Source organism: Homo sapiens, chromosome 2 (assembly GCF_000001405.40).
Source record: "Homo sapiens chromosome 2, GRCh38.p14 Primary Assembly".
NCBI lineage: Eukaryota > Metazoa > Chordata > Mammalia > Primates > Hominidae > Homo > Homo sapiens.
The window spans coordinates 64,016,729-64,034,570 of NC_000002.12; the positions used below are offsets into that span (position 1 = coordinate 64,016,729).

General features: G+C 40.3%; 1 protein-coding gene across 7 annotated transcripts in view, besides 2 other annotated features; it reads right to left on the reverse strand.

The window, feature by feature from the left end:
* Positions 1-2,700, reverse strand: part of VPS54 (VPS54 subunit of GARP complex) — a 127,279-nt gene extending 124,579 nt beyond the window's left edge. For all 7 annotated transcript variants that reach the window (XR_007076389.1, XM_017004316.2, NM_001005739.2 and 4 more), the window contains exon 1: positions 2,210-2,700. The gene's annotated coding sequence lies outside the window, so the exon portion shown is untranslated. The remainder of the gene's footprint in view (positions 1-2,209) is intronic.
* Positions 1,884-1,953: an enhancer, noted in NCBI's record as "active region_15880". NCBI's record gives its function as "activates an Ori minimal core promoter by ATAC-STARR-seq in GM12878 lymphoblastoid cells {active_cell/tissue: GM12878}" and the evidence as "EXISTENCE:reporter gene assay evidence [ECO:0000049][PMID:35858748]".
* Positions 2,114-2,823: a silencer, noted in NCBI's record as "silent region_11544". NCBI's record gives its function as "represses an Ori minimal core promoter by ATAC-STARR-seq in GM12878 lymphoblastoid cells {active_cell/tissue: GM12878}" and the evidence as "EXISTENCE:reporter gene assay evidence [ECO:0000049][PMID:35858748]".

The window sequence follows — 17,842 nt, forward strand, 5'->3', positions numbered from 1 at the left end:
CTCCCCAGTAGCTGGGATGACAGGCGCTCACCCCCATGCCCGGCTAATTTATATATTTTTAGTACAGACGGGGTTTCACCATGTTGGCTAGGCTGGTCTCGAACTCTGGACCTCAGGTGATCTACCTGACTAGGCTTCCCAAAGTGGTGGGATTACAGGTGTGAGCCACTGAACCCGGCCAAGTGGTACACCTTAAATGGGTGTATTTTATGGTATGTTAATTTTATCTCAATAAAGCAGTTTTTAAAAAGCAAAGAGCAGGAAAGAGGAATTGTAATTAACTTTTGTTGATTAAAAAAAAAAAAAAAAAAAAAAAGAGTGTGATGGGCCGGGGCCGGGGCGGTGGCTCACACCTCTAATCCCAGCACTCTGGGAGGCCGAGGCCGGTGGATCACAAGGTCAGGAGTTCAAGACCAGCCTGGCTAATATGGTGAAACCCCCGTCTCTACTAAAAATACAAAAATCAGCCAGGCGTGGGGGCGCCTGTAGTCCCAGCTACTCAGGAGACTGAGGCAGAAGAATCACTTGAAGCCGGTAGGCGGAGGTTGCGGTGAGCCAAGATAGCGCCACTGCACTCCAGCCTGGGCAACAGAGCAAGACCCCGTCTCAAAAAAAAAAAAAGAAAAGAAACAAAAAAAAAGAGTGTGATGAAGAAATTCTGCAAAATTTGCCGTTTCATGGGCTATATAGGAATTGACTTTAATTCTGACACAAAAAATTATCTTATCCAGAAATCAATTTTAACTTTCCAGAAAATATAAGCATATGCAAAAGTAATCACCTTTTCCTAGTAAACTTTTAGTATTAAATTCTAATTTCAAAAACACTTCAGAAAGCCAAATGCTGTAGTAACAATACTTCTACAAGAACAAAATATACGAATATCAACAACAAAACAGTCTTTACGATTTGGTTGTGATGCATTCTTTATTTTAAAAACCCATTAAAACATTTTTCATTTATTTAAAAAAGTGATCCTCAGACTGCCTCTTAGATTGGTAGTGTAATAATTCTTAAGTTATCAGAACATAATTTAAAAATAGCCAAATTACAATAAAATCGCAAACATCTACTGTCGTCCCAAACAACTATCAATTACAGCTACTGGTAACCTATCATAAGCAATGATGAGCACTACGAACCATCAACATCCATTTCTAGGAAATCCGATTCTGACTACACTACAAATACAGTCAAACAAATCCCATCATTCCCTCTGTTCCATCATTTAACTGCTTAGAAATCATTTAGGCTCTGAAGGTGCTTTTTCCAATTAGAACTCCCCTTCGGATTTATAAAAGTGAATGTACATCAAAATCTGCAGTTTAGGTTATCGCAGTAATATTTCTCGGTATACTACAAGTAATTTATCACGGTATTACTTAAAGGCGTTTAGTATTAAGACCGCCCTTGATTTGACAAATCAGAAATACAGCCAATTAAAAACAAAAACAGTCCAAACAATTTAATTCTTCGAAAGAGCCTCAATAAAGACCAAAAAATAAAGCTGGTTAGAAGAAAAAAATTTTTTTTTGAAACGCCTGTCAGTCAAAATGCTAAAAATACCATCTTGAACTCAACACATGAACAGACCAAACGGCTAATTATAATTGGCAAGCCAAAGTTCCCAAGTCAACGACGGGAGAGCAGAAACGGCAGAGAGGGCCTGCCCTTTCTGTCTATGCAGAGATGGAAGGAGGCAGAACTGAAGAAAATTATTGCACAAATTATTTCAAGCTACATTGCCAAAATGCAAAATACTGAGTAACTCTTTGGGTTAGCCTTCCCCGGAGAGAAAAACAAACAAATGTTTTAACGATTCCAGTAGAATCCAATAGGACTAAGGGCCTGGCTGGAAAAAGAAAAGGAAAGTTTGGGGGCAGCGTCTAAGGGGGTGATGGAAGTTCCAGAGCTGGGATCCCGGAAAGATAAGAGAGGGGCAAGAGCGGCGTTTGCGGTCGCTGACAGGAGGCAGGGAACACAGCTGCCAGCCCCGATCCCGGAGGGAGAGTGAAAAGGAAAAAAAAAAAAAAAAAAGGAAGTGGCGGAGAGGAGCATGGAAGCTTCAGTGCCGGTCAGCTGTGACCGAAACTCGGTCCGTTTGGGGCTGGGGAGGAGAGCCGAGGGGGTGGGGTCTCGGTCCCTCTCTCCGCTGTAGGTCGGGGTGAGAGTGGGCTGAGACGCGCGGGGGGCCGCGGGGCACACCTACCTGCGGGTCCCGGGGCAGCCGCCCTGAGCGAGGCCTAGTGCATCGCCGCCGCCTCCAGCCCTCCACGTCGCACCGAGGCTGCTGCTCCACGGCCGCCGCCGCCCGGCGCCCGGCCGGGCCCGAGCCCGGGTTCCCGCCCCCGCCCCGCGCCCGCTGGCCAGTCGGCCCGGGGAGCACAGGGCCGCCCTCTCGAGCCCAGCTTCACTCAGGGGTGAGAGGTGGCAGCGGCGGCTCCCTCACGTCTCTCCCGGGTGTCCTGTCAGCCAGCAGTTTCCCCCGGGTCCGCAGCGCCGCCTCCGCCGCTGCTGCCACCGCCTCTCCCACATCCCCGGCCTCCAGGGGAGCCGCCGCCGCCGCGCCACGACCACTGCCTCTAGCGCTTCTGCTCCCGACTCCACTGCTTTCCCTCACCCCGCCGGCCCAGCCGGCTCGGCCCGGTCGGGTGCGGGGAGACAGCGCCGGAGGCCGCCGCAGCCCCCAGCCCACAATCCACCGCGCGGCTCCGCCGGGGCGGGAGGGCCGCGGCCCGGGCCGGGGGGAGCGCCCGCCGCCTGGGGAAAGCGGCCTTGGCGCAGGCCGGCGTGCCCGTCGCAGGCGCAGCCAGAGTTCTCTCGGGGCGGGGAATACACCGCGTGGCTCCCCTGCGCCTCCTCTAATAGTCCTACACGCAGACAAATCCACGCTGAATTCCACTTTCCCCACCACCCTTCCCCCCAACTCCCAGTTTTCAGGAACACCCAGAAAACCTCCTGCCGCCTTCCCCGGGACTGGGACGCGACCCCTCCAGCGTAGCCCTCGCCACCCCCAAGACCAACCGACTCGAAACATCCCTAAATCACCCGGGACCTATTAAAGCAAATACTTCCACGAGATTCCTCCTCTCCCCCACCCCCTCGAAGTAAATGCTTTTCAGCTGTTCCCTAGTAAATGCCCTTCCAAAGGTTAAAGGTCACCCCTCCGCAACAACCCAGTTCTCTCTATTGAGGCCTTTTCCCCATCCAGTCCTCCCCTCCAAGTCTTCCCCAAGTTCCAGGCCTTCCTCCCAGACACTGTAATCAGTTATTCCTGTTACTTGACTGAGATACTTGGAGTGTGTATGATAATTAATACCTTCTAATTCTGACTTCAGCCTGGTTTCACAGGACTTGCAACTTTAAACCAATAAAACACAGTCCACAAGAAAGGGAAGGTCTTAGTATATAAATATAAAGACACACACACACACACACACACACATATATTTTAGGAAGAAAAAGATCCTCAATCCTTTGAGTGCTTGTGACTTAATTTTGGGAAGATTTTATTCAATGTTGAAATTCTTGCCTAAAAATAAATTTCAAGCATTTATAAGACATAGTATGTTTTAACAAATCAAAAGTGAAAATGTAACTCTTATAGTTGGGGGGTTGAAAAAAATGTTGATCCAAGTTTCACTTCTAAGAAGTCACTTTGAAAACTGCAAACATAACTTTTATGAAATAATATTTTCCCCACCAAAGAGCTAAAGTTGGGGAAAGAGGACAAAAAGTAAGGAAGCATCAAAAATAGTTGAGAGAAAACTCTTACATTATATTTTTCTAAGTTCAATCCTCTAAAATTATGTAAGAAACAAAGTGAGAAAATCATTCCCCAATATGAAATAAATTTAACTGTAAAAGAGTGAAGTCCTCTTAAATCCCTGATCACTTATAAAACCAGATGAGTTTACATAGAAGCAGAGTAGAATGGTGGTTACCAAAGACTGGGGGGTAAAGGGTGATGAGGAAAGGGGAAATGTGAGTCAAAGGGTATAAAGTTTCAGGTAGGAGGAATAAATTTTAGTGATCTATTGCACAGCACGATGACCACAGTTAATAACAATGTATTTAATATTCCAGAATAGCTAAAAGAGTACTTTCTTTGTTTTGTTTTGTTGAGACTGTGTCTGGCTCTGTTGCCCAGGCCAGAGTGCAGTGGCATGATCTTGGCTCACTGCAACCTCTGCCTCCCAGGTTGAAGCAATTCTCCTGCCTCAGCCTCCCGAGCCGCTGGGACTACAGGCGCGCACCACCACGCCCAGCTAATTTTTGTATTTTTAGTAGAGACGGGGTTTCACCATATTTGCCAGGCTGGTCTCCAAACTCTTGACCTCGTGATCCACCTGCCTCAGCCTCCCAAAGTGCTGGGATTACAGGCATGAGCCACCACGCCCAGCCAAGAGTACATTTTAAATGTTCTCACCATAAAAAAAATAAGCTGGGTACAGTGGCCCACACTTGTAGTCTCAGCTGAAGTGGAAGGATGCCTTGAAACTAGCAGTTTGAGTCCAGCCTGGACAACATAGCCAGACACCATCTCTTAAAAAAAAAAAAAAAAGTAGGTGAGGTGAAAGATATGTTAATTAGCTTGGTTTAGTTATTCCACAGTGTGTACATATATCAAAACATCACATTGGATCCTATAAATATATATAATTATTATTTGTCAGTTTAAAAATTTTTTATTAAAAAAGATGTGTTTATACTGTGAAAATATTAACAAGAGGATTAACCAAGTTTTATCTAAGGCCAGAAAGGAAAATAATTTTTCTTTATGTCTAGAATCAGTTCATAGATTATGCTAGGAATTGGATTTAGCAAATTCTTATATTTTGACCCCCCTCAGGAAGTCAACAACAGTTCAAAAACTTCCTTAAGCCTGGCTGGTTTGGCCTTTAAAAAAATATTTGTGTTTATACCCCACCTTGTTCCAGAAAAGATTCCAACTTGGCACTTGGACTAAATGATAGCCGTCAGTTGTCTCCCAGACACTAGAACAAGACAGTCTGGTTTGCTTCCTCATTATCCATCTGTTGATAACATACCATAGGAAGAAAATACACATTGAGTGTCGTGCTTAGTTCTTTCAGAGATCCAGCTCAATGTTTACTTTTACTTTTACTTTTCCACAGAACAATTCATAATCTTGAATCTAAACAGGAAAGTAAATGCTGATGATCAGGTTTGCAAAAATTTTTTTAAAGTGTGTAAACTGGGCAAGCAATTTCATTTAAACCTAGATAAATTTCAAATTAATTACTATGTTCACTTGCTATCACTTGAATCATTTCAGTCAGTATGAGAGCTAAAAGCCAAATCACAAATAAATAGGTATAGATATATTATTAGTGTACATTTCCAGAAAGCACAGATGATAGAAAATTAAGAAATTAATACAAAATTAAGAAATGGATAGGAGTTAAGATTCCATCATTGCCTTCAAAAAAAGGAATCAGGAAGAAAATATTTAGCTACCATGTCACTAACACTGTATTTGGCATATTTATTATATCTGTTACCGACCAATCACATGAAAAGTGATAGTCCATCAAGGTTATATGTTCTAATTAGAGGGAGAATGGCAAATTTTCTAATGCCATAACACCTATAAAAGGGCTATGTTTATGTTTACTGTGTATTCTGTGCATATTTGTATAGGTGGCAGTAGTAAGGTTAACATAGCTACTCAATCACTGAACACTGCCTTTCTTTTTTTTTTTTTTGAGATGGAGTCTTGCTCTGTCACCCAGGCTAGAGTGCAGTGGCACGATCTCGACTCACTGCAAGCTCCACCTCCCAGGTTCATACCATTCTCCTGCCTCAGCCTCCCAATATAGCTGGGACTACAGGCGCCCGCCTCCACGCCTGGCTAATTTTTTGTATTTTTAGTAGAGACGGGGTTTCACCGTGTTAGCCAGGATGGTCGTGATCTCCTGACCTCACGATCTGCCCGCCTCGGCCTCCCCAAGTGCTGGGATTACAGGCGTGAGCCACCATGTCCGGCCTGAACATTGCCTTTCTAATGATTTATTTGATAGAAACTATACATTCCCGTGCTATATAAATACAGAGGGGAAAGGGGGCACTGATAGAATGAACAATGAGAAAAATAATTTTCCAATTTAGTAAGATAGAAGCACTAGCTTCTTTTTTCTGTGATAGCAAACCTTGAATCTATGCAATGGAAACCCATCCACATTCTTAACCTACTCTACAGCTAAATATGTGTAATTATATTGTGTGTTTAGTATAAATAAGCTATCTTTGATAAGCAAGATTTACATGCACTAATGAACTGAAGGTGTCAAGCTGGTAATTGTTTCATTAGGGTTTGGATCCAATAATGTCCTGAATTATTTTATGCATCATATTTGAGCTATTCTTAAATGTTATATATATAAATATATAATTATATGTGTTTTTATAATTTAAAAAATTTTACAATTTTTGATACAGCTAATATATAGTATATAAAAATATAAATGATAATTTATAACAATATGACTCTAACCTGAAACTGTGTTTTGATATTTCTTCATAGGTAATATAGGACTATCTTAATGTAGGAAAACTTTCCAGTTTACTTTGAGTATGGTGTAAGATATTAAAGCTAAATGTAGATATAAGCACCACTAGAAAATTTATAATATTTTATGTGGTGATGATAATGTACTCAATACTTGTTGGGAGTAATATACAAGTCTTCAACATATCATCTTTTTGTCTTCTACACCAGCCGCTTGGTTACTTTGGAAGCAATTATTTAACTCTGTTAAATTTCTCTGTTAACTTTTTTCTTGACCTCGATATTTCAGATTTCCATTTTGATTATTATAATAATAGCAGCTGTAATCTACTAAGAATTTACTGCACCCCAAGCATAGGGAAAAACCAAGATACTATGGTATATTAGTTTTCTATTGGTATGTACAAATTATCGCCAATTTAGCAATTTAAAGCAACACACGTTTATTATGTCATGGTTTCTTGAGTCAGGAGTCTCAGCACAACTTAACTTTGCTTAAGGTTTCACAAGGCTGCAATCAAAGCATCCATCAGCCTGTATTGTCATCTGAAAGCTTGACTGAGGAAGAATCTGCTTCCAGTCTCCTTCAGGTTGTTGGCAGCATTTATTTTCTTGCATTTACAGACTGAGAGCCCTGGCTCCTTGCTGGCTCAAGGCTGCCCTCAGATTTTAGAGGCCACCTGCAGTTCCTCACCCTGTGGGTTTCCCTAACACAGCTGTTTACTTCATCAGCCAGTGAGGAGTGTCTTTAAAGTCTCTAAAGTGAATCTGCTAGCCAAATGGAGTGATATCCTAGCATATTTTCTAGGTTTATAGCAGGTCACAAGTTTCACTCACACTTGAGGAGAGGGGATTACAAAAAGTGTGAACAATCATGGTTGCCTTTGATGGTAGCAATCATGAAGGGCTACCCTCGAGCCTATAGTTAATACCACAGGCTTTGGAGTTTGGCCAACCTTGGGCTTTAAACTTGGCTGTGACACTTTAGCTATGTGACTTTATTATCAGCCTCTAACTCATAGCTTGTTCATCTGCAAAGAGGGAAAACAAGCTCTTTGCACTTTATTTTTCTCCCATGTAAAATGGGACTAATAATAGAGTTTAAGGATTAAATGAGCATTTTAACACAGTAACTGGTAACATGAAATACTCAATAAACACTTGTTAGTTTTCTCCTTTTGTTCCCCCTCTTTCCCTCATCTCTTTTTATTTTGAACCTGGTCTGTTAGAAGTCCCAGTTGGCATTTTTACCCTTTCAACTGCTATGTATTTACCCTGGGTCCAGAGTTCATGTACATGTGTGTACACCTGTATCTAGGGCCATTCAAAACCAATTCTAGTATCAACACCTTAAAAAAAAGGATGGATAGTATTGCAAATGTTATTTCCAACTTGAGCTTGGAAAAATAAATAAAATGATAAATGCATAACATTAGAAAGATCATTATTAGACATAGAGGCTTTGAGAGTTTAGAGAACGTTGCTGGGGTTGGCTTCAGTTCTCCCTCTGAATCATGTTCAATAGGTACAAGGTACAAAAGGACGTGTTCTGGCATAATAGTGTTCCTGGGCTCTGAGTTTGTATTCCAGCTTTGCCACTTTCTAAGTAACCTTGGGATATTATTTAAGCTCTTTAAAGCTCAGTTCATTGTGGGGTAATGATAGTATTTAGACTTCGTAGATGTGCTGTGAGGATTACGTTTAAAGTGCACAGTCAGCCCTCAATATCTGCGGATTCCACATCAATAGATTCAACCAACTGTGTATTGAATATATATATATTTAAAAACAATAAAAAATACCAATAAAAAACAATACAGTATAACAACTATTTACATTGCATTTACATTGCATTAGGTAGTATAAATAATCTAGAGATGATTTAAAGTATCTGGGAGGATGTGTGTAGGTTATATGCAAGTACTTTGCCATTTTATATAAAAGACTTACTCAAATCCCTGATTTTGGTAACTGCAGAGGAGGGGGTAGTCCCTGAACCAATCGTCCTCAGATACTGAGGGACGATTGTACTTAAATAGCATAATTTAATGCTTAGTTCATAGTTGGTACTTTAAAATGTTAACTATCATAATTATTATTATAATCTTCACTATATCATTATTATTAGGAAAGCTGTTTTAATGAAACCCGCAAAATAGGAAGGGGCAAGATTTGACTATGAATGAGGTGGTTGAGGTGAGGCATGAGAAGCCACAAGATCTCAAAAGTCCTTATAAGCCCATGGGCTGCAAGTAAGATCAGTGGTCAGAAGGTATAAAAATTGGCAAGTCAAAGCCAAGTGTGGTGGCTCATGCCTGTAATCCTAGCACTTTGGGAGGCCAAGGTGGGAGGATCACGTGAGCCCAGGAGTTTGAGACCAACCTGGGCCATATAGTGAGACCTCATCTCTTAAAATAATTTTAAAAAGTTATATATATATATATATATATATATATATATATATATATAGAGAGAGAGAGAGAGAGAGAGAGAGAGAGAGAGAGAGAGAAAGAGAGACAGAGAGAGAGAGAAAGGGAGAGAGAGAAAGAGAGAGAACATTGACAGGTCAGAAACTGGACAAATAGGAACTAGGGGCCAAGGTAAAATTATGAATTCTCAACCAAACCGAAAAATGCAACCCAAGACACAACAGAAGAGCACATGAAACAAATAATTCGTACTTCAAACATGAAGCCTTTTATATACTTCCTGCTGGAGCAGGAGTCAACCACAGAGCATATCTGGTACGTGTCTGTACCATGCCTGGTACAAAGTAAGAGTTCAATAACTATTTTGAATGGAAAACACAGGAGTCATGTTCCTATAGGAAAATAGTGACTACATTGTTGAGTAGAACAGAGGATATGGGCATATCTTGACAAATATAAGATTACTTTCAAATTGAACAATTTCCCTAGAAAAGTAGTTATATATACCATTTTGTTAGTCCTGCTATCATATTTTTGCTTTATGTTGCTTTATACAGTATTTGGTTCTTTATTCTATGGAGAATATGTCTAATGAACTAAATTGTAACTATTTCCAGGGTAGGATTTTCTGTTGTTGTTGCAGGGTACTTTTAAAAAATTTCCCTACAGAATCTGGAACAGTATACTACATAGTAGATTTTCAGTAGATGCTTGTTGAGTTAAAATAATTATGAATTACCCATCCTTAGTAAATGGTATTTGGCATAATTAATTTTAATAATGTATAAAACTAGTGGGCAACCTTGAAATCATTCTTGACTTTCATGTACCACATCTAATTTGTCAGCAAATTCTGTTATTTCTACCTTTGAAATATATCTAGACTAAAGACTTCTCACCATTCACACTGCATCCAGACTGATCCAAGCCATCTTGCCCGCAGGGCCCCTGACTGTGGCTGTTGGACTATAATATACTGCTTATTACCGAAGGCACCATTCATACAGACGGCAGGGCGAATGATGCTTCTTGGAGTTGTGCAGTGCAATGATCCTACTTGCCTGGATTTTTGCAAAAGTCTTCTAGGCCATCTCCCCATTTCTGCCTTCTTCCCCCGACCCCACCAGTCTATTCTCAAAACGATAGTCAGCTTGCTTCTGTTGAAACTTAAGTCAGATCAGGTCATTCCTCCAGAAGCTCCCATCTCATTCAGAGAAAAGTTAAAGTTCTTGCAAGGCCCTAGGTGATCTCATCCCACTGTTACCTCTCTGACTTTATCTGCTCCTGCTCCCCCTATTTCTGACAACTGAACTCCTCACGATTCCTGGGAAACACCAGACATGGCCCTGACCTAGAGCATTTGCACTTGCACCTCTCTCTGCCTGGAATTTCCCCAGTTGTCCGCATAGCTAACTCCCTTACTTCCTTCAGGTCTTCATTCAAATATCACCTTCTCAGTGAGGCATTTCTTGACATGCATATTTCTCATTACAACACTAGGCTTTAACTGCTTTTCCACTTTCACCTCTTAGCCTTTATTATTATCTAACCCTCCATATGTTTTACTTATTTATTGTTTATCTGTCCCTAACATGAATGCAAGCTCTTTTGAGGGCAAGGATTTTTTTCTGTTTTGCTTACCACTTTACCACGCAACACCTGGAACAGTGCCTGTTCAAAGTAAGAGTTCAATAAATACTTGAAATAATGAATGAATGACTAAAAAAAAAACTAGCTGTTATAAGTATACACCACTTTCTTTCATGCACTAAGCAGAATAAATAACCAGTTAGTCTAATATCTTGAAAACAACTTGCCATTGATATGTTATAGGACTCAAGATTTTTGTAAGCCACTATTAATTTATTATATTTATGATCAAGATGATACTCTTGGCTCATTTTACATTTGGAGTAATTTAAGTAATAATGTTTAGAAAAGTGTTTTAAATATGCAATTCTGTAATGAAGTAGAACTATAAGGATATAACAGTCAAACATTTATTAGGAAAAAAGCATTTTTTTTTGATACAAAGTCTCGCTCTGTTGCCCAGGCTGGAGTGCAGTGGCATGATCTCAGCTCACTGCAACCTCCGCCTTCTGGGTTCAAGCGATTCTCCTGCCTTGGCCTCCTGAGCAGCTGGGATCACAGGCACGTACCACCATGCCCAGCTAATTTTTTTGTATTTTTAATGGAGATGGGTTTCGCCATGTTGGCCAGGCTGGTCTCAAACTCCTGACCTCAGGTGATCTGCCCACCTCGGCCTCCCAAAGTGCTGGGATTACAGGCATGAGCCACTGCACCCAGCCAGGAAAAAAAAATTCTCATTTAAAACTTATCTCAGGAGAGGAGAAATTTTGTTTAAAACTTCTCAAGGAAAATTGTGGGCAATTTAGAAGCCATACATTGCCAGAGAAACAGAAGCCAGGGTTGGCCTCCTAAAGGATTTTCTCAAGAACCACCTTATACATCAACTGGGTATGCGACAACACCAGCCGTTGCTCAGGAAGAACCCCCTAAGGGGTAGAAATACAAGGGATACAAATTCTTACCCCACTATATAATATTTTTAAATGGAAAAAAATAAAAATCAAGCAGTGAGGAAAATTTTGCAAGCCAAATAGAGACAAAACAACCCTGAGCATCATAAAACTAGGCAAATTTAACAACATAATCCAAAGTAAGAGATTAATATAAGAATGGATTGCAATTATGTAATGGATTTTCCTGGATACCAAAATGCATTATAAAGGTCATTTAATTCTCATGCCACTGTCTGGTCATTTTGGTTCCCATTACACCAGGCAGTAAAACATCTGTATTTTTTTACTCTCTTTACTGCTATGAATTCCTGAGCTCTAATAAAAAGTTCTCAATCAGAATCTGGTTTCAATGTAGAAGTCTTACTTCCAAAAATCTTACTTTATATTTAGAACAGCATTTTTTTCCCTTCCATGCTTTTATTTAATAGCTTTTAAGCCAATATATAAAATAGAATTAATAAACTCAAAAGAAAGAAAACATCACTGAAATCAGACTTTTAGGACAGCAGATGCCTCTCATTTGACAGACGAGGGCTGAGACAGATCATGTTTTAGTGGTGGCAGCTGATTTCCAATCAGAAACCAGGTTTAAGGACATTAAGACTAGTGATCTTTGCCTCGCACTATACTGAGGAAATGCTATAACAACAAATAGCTGGAAAAGTAAGAATTATGTTAACTGAAATTAGTTATTACTTGAATTAAAAAAAAATTGTATTCTCCTCTCACTGTCCCCAAAGGAAAAGTTAGAACTTTCACTAAAATATGAAGTTTTTCATTACTTGTAAGAAAAAACCATCTTGTAGGAAAGATTTTGCTTGGTAACAGATGTTTAATAACTTAGGAAATAATCAACATACATTAATTTATTATTTTAAATACTCTTTACCAGTTCTTAAGTCCAAAGATAGATCTCTTGTTTGGTTGCAAGAATCCAGTATTTTAGAAAATGTATAGCCTATTTTCGTGTATTCTTCCTTCATAAATATGCAAAAGCCTATTTCTATTCTTCTAAGTTTGTCCCAACTTTACTTTGCAGATCAGTATGCATAGCAAAAGAAATGTAAAATGAGCATAAAGGACACATTTACAAAGCATACATATTTCTGTGTCTATTACAAATTGAAAGTCAGGCAACTGACAGTTTTTCCCCCTGCAGAGCTCTACAACAAGCATACATCAAATCAATGAGCAAACAAAAAGCTTGTATAAATGGCTTTGTCTTTATGATTAAACTGGCTCACTCATGCATGCCAGTGGAGTGCTGCTTTGATTCCAGGTGGTCAGCATATCTCTCTGGTTAATGGCATCCAAGAAGGAAATTGCTGATTCTTTACTGCCTGCCGACCTACCTATATTTTGCTCCAGTATATTGGTGGCTACCTCAGTTACTCACTACTTGCCCCCAGAATGAGGTTAAATTTGTCAAAATTATGATTCCCCTTAATGATGGAACCAATATTGTGATTCTCATTCTAAATCTTTTATTGTAATGAAGAGGTAGGAAAAATATTTCTACACAAGAACTCCTTAACCCCCAGCACACATCCTCATTCTTAAATAAATATCCAGATATCCATTCACACTCAATGGATATTTATCAAGGGTGTTCTGGGTCCTATAAGCTAGCAGTAAGCAAGACTGGTTCCGTTCATGCTGTCATAGAACTTACAATCTGGAGTGAGAAGAGAGACATTAAACAATTATAGGAATTGTTCGACAACAGTTAGGATATGTATCATGAGAAGGCAGAAGTTAGGAGAGCTTGTCAAGCTGAGTATAATTTAACATAGATAAATAGAGAATCCTTGCCCAAGAAAGCAACATTTAAACTGAAAAATGAATAGGAGTTGGTCAGGGTAGAGGAGTAGTGGTGGTGAAGAGGAAACAGCCAGCAGAAAGAGGCTCTGAGGCATGAAGAACTAGTAGGCTAGTAGAGGAAACAAAGGACCAATGTGGCTGGCATTAAATGAGACAATTGGGCCAAAGCCAGAGCATACAAGAAGGTGTAGGTCTTGGTGGAGTTTGAGCTTTATTATAAACTATAATAGGGCTTTGGGCAATGAGGTGACATAAGCATGTTTTTAAAAGATCGGTTTGACCCACTATGTGGAAAGTGAATTAGTGGAGATGACCAAAAGAAGGTGTGGCACCTGCAATTAGAAGGTTATCCAAGGGGTCCAGGTGTCAGGTAAAGACTAAGACCAGTTAGACAGATGTCTTCGTTGGCTTGGGTTGCCGTAACAAAATACCATAGACTGGTTGGCTTAAACACCAGAAATTTATTTCTCACAGTTCCAGAGGCTGAACTCAGGGTGCCTGTATGGTCAGGTTTCTGGTGAGGGCTCTCTTCCTGGCTTGTAGATGGCTGCCTTCTACTTATGTCCTCATATGGTAGAGAGAGAGAGAAACATCAGTCTCCTCCTCTTCTTATAAAGACATTAATCCCTTCAAGGGAGTCCCACCATCCTGACCCTTTCTAAACCTAATTACCTTCCAAAGTCTCATCTCCAAATACCATTACAGTGAGGATTAGGGCTTCAACATATGAATTTGGGTGGTGGGACACAAACATTCAGTCCATAACAACAGATTGAAGAGATATCCTTGGAGACAGAATTGACAGTACTGGGTGATTGGCTGGACAAAGAAGCTAAGAAATGGGTAGGGATTAAAGATGATTCAGGTTGGGTGCAGTGGCTCATGCCTCTAATCCCAGCACTTTGGGCAGCCAAGGCTGGCAGATCATGAGGTCAAGAGATTGAGACCATCCTGGCTAACGTGGTGAAAACAACATAAAAAGGGAGAACAAATTTATTGCTTCATGTCATTAAGAAGTCCAAGGTTAGGGATGACTTAAGACATGGTGGGATCTGGAAGCTTAAATGATCAAGCAGGAACCAATCTTCCCACTTCTCTCAGCTTTACTGTCATTCATTTAAAAATATTTATTGAAAAGCTACTGAGTCCCATGCTCCATTTTAGACACTAGAGATGCAGTGGTACAAAAGACAAGCAAGTCCACTATCACTGCTTCTTTTCAGCATTGCACTGGAGGTTCTAGTCAGTGCAACAATTCAAGAAAAAGACATTTTTAACAATATAAGAATTGAGAAGAAGGCTGGGCACTGTGGCTCATGCCTGTAATCCCAGCACTTTGGGAGGCTGAGGTGGGTGGATCATGAGGTCAAGAGATCGAGATCATCCTAGCCAACATGTTGAAATCCCATCTCTACTAAAAATACAAAAATTAGCTGGGCGTGGTGGCGGGCGCCTGTAGTCCCAGCTACTCGGAAGGCTGAGGCAGGAGAATGGCATGAACCCAGGAGGCAGAGGTTGCAGTGAGGCGAGATTGTGCCACTGCACTCCAGCCTGGGTGACAGAGCGAGACTCTGTCTCAAAAAAAAAAAAAAAAAATTAGTAACATGTTTGTCCAATGGCAGCATTAAGAGAATAAAAAGGCAAGCCCAGTGGGAGAAGGTATTTGCAACACCTGTAGCTAAAAAGGCCTTATATTCAGGATATTTTAAAAGATAAAAATTTTAATATCTCCTACAAATCAAAAAAGAAAAAAAAATGGGGGGGAGGGGGGAGGGATAGCATTGGGAGATATACCTAATGCTAGATGACGAGTTAGTGGGTGCAGCGCACCAGCATGGCACATGTATACATATGTAACTAACCTGCACAATATGCACATGTACCCTAAAACTTAAAGTATAATAAAAAAAAAAAAAAAAAGAAAAAAAATGGGTAACTCAATAGACGCTTGAATAGGTACTCCACAAAAAAGGACATACAAATGGCCAATAAACATATGAAAGGGTATTCAGCCTCATTAGTAATTAGGAAAGTGCAATATGATATACTGTACATTCATGTTTAAAGACTTATAACACCAAATGTTGCCTAGGATATGCAATAACAGGTACACACTAGGGTAGGAGAGTAAGTTGACACAATAACTTCAGAAGATAATTTGGCAATGATCTTCTAAAGCAGAACATTTGTATACTCCAGGATCCAGCAATTCTATCCTCAGGAATATATTCAATAGAAATGAAGGCATATATGTACCAAAGACATTTACAATAATGTTGAGTGACAGAAGCCAGACACACAAGTATATACTCCATTTATCTATATAACTTAAAAACTGTCAAACTATGATGTTACTAGTTAGCAGGAGAGAAGGTATAGTGATTGGGAGAAGCATGAGGGGGTAATGTTCTATTTCTTCATCTAGGTGGTAGACAAATGGGTGTATTCATTTTGTAATAATTTTTGACCCAAACATTTGTTTTGTACATTTTTTTCTGTATGTGAATGATGTGCCAATAAAAAAAGATTTAAAAATAAAGCCAAGCTTCCTGCCCCCATGGACTTTACATTCTTCTATGAGGATCCCTGCTCTCCTCCCTGTTGACTGGCTTCAATCTAAGGCTGCAAGTGGTGGCAAAGTAGCGACCAGCAGCTCCTAGTCTACAACTTCCCACGTTCAAACAAGTAGAAGTCAAGGCATACTTGTCTTAGGAGTTCAGCAAAAGTCCCACGTTGCCTCTGACTGGCTCTAATTGGAGCATGCCTTCATCTCTGATCCAATCACCGTGGCCAGTGTGAGACTCTAATTGGCCAAGCCTGAATCACAGCCAACTCATGAAGCCAGAGTCAAATGGAGTCAGCTTCACCAGAACACGTATAATAAAAATAGGTAAAGATTCAAACAAAACAAAACTGTGGCCCTGTTTCAAAAGAGGAAATAAATATGGGTTGTAAACCCAACAAATGTCTGTAACAGATCTCCTGCAAATGAGAACCTGGATTTCCTACTTCGTGTTAAGCTAACTTCCCTTTAATTCCTTCATTTTATCACATGTCCCAGGGATTTGGCTCTTCCACTGCTATCATGATTGCAAATGGACTCTTTTCTTCTTCTCTTTGGTCACCTGAGAAATAAGGTACTCTCTCCTACTCCATCTCTATTTTTCTGACTTCGAAATAAGACAAAAACAATTAACCAGACAGATGAAAGTGAATAACAATAACAACAAAAATTTATTTAGAGTTTTAAATGTTTGTTTCTGCTAGAAACTGCATGTTAACATAAAGGCTAATAAAAATAATCAGACCTTAGAAAGTAAGTTCTATTTCTATCCCTCTTCAAAGGATCCTTTGAGATGCCTCAGGGAGTACCTCCTCTGGTCAGTTTTCTTTACCACCCCCACCCCTGATCTGAGTTATTGAACACCTCTGCCCCTGTGCTCACTCATACTATATTGTAGTTTTCTGTTTACTTATCTGCCTTACGCATTGGCTCATGTGTTCCTTGAAGGAAGGGTTTCTACCTTTATCTCTGTATTAGCACTACAAAGCTCAGTGTCTGGGACATATACAGTGAAGGGTCAGTAAATATTTTCAGAATGAGTGAGTGTTTCATATCCCAGTTATACTTAAACCTGATAGCAGCCCTGTGAGATAGAGGTGATCAACCTGAGGCTTAGAGAGGTAAGGTAGGTGACTTGCTTAAGGTCATAAATAGTAAGTAGAATCAGGATTGGAGCTCAAATCTATCTGATAAAAAGTCTGAGCCCTTGACCAGGGCTTTGGTCAAAACTGTTCATTTATTTGGAATAAGGTTCAAAATGTAGCTGGGAGTAGTTTTCCCTGATTGAATCCTACCTGCCTTTCTAACCCTTTTTGTCATTTTTCTCCTTCACGCATCTTTCCTCACAGCCCCTGAACAGACTTGGGCTTTCCTGCCTCTTTGTTTTCACTGGACTCTGTCAACTCTGCTTACTAAACTCTTACACCTTCTTCAAGGATCAGCTCAGACATCATCTCTTTTACAAAATTTTCCTTTATCACATACCCAGAAGTGACATCATCCTCCTTTGAATTGTCATATTATTTCCTGAACCATGAACATGGCATGTGTGACATACTAGCTCTGCTCAAACTATTAGTCTCCATATTAAACTACTAGATCATGCCTTGTCCTCTTTATGGCCCTTAGTATAGTGATTTGCACATAGTAGACTTTTTACAAATTTGCTGAATAAATTAATGGTGGTAGTGGTGACTTTTTGGTATGCCAACCATTTCCCCCACTGTCTAGGGCTTAGGACTGTGCAAATCATTGTTAGATCTGCCCTATTTCTTCATACCTTATAGGCTGTGATATGGTTTGGCTGTGTCCCCACCCAAGTCTCATCTTGAATTGTAGTTCCCATAATCCCCACATGTTGTGGGAGGGACCCAGTAGGAGGTAATTGAATCGTGGGGACATTTTCCCCCATGCTATTCTGATGATAGTAAGTTCTCATGAGATCTGATGATTT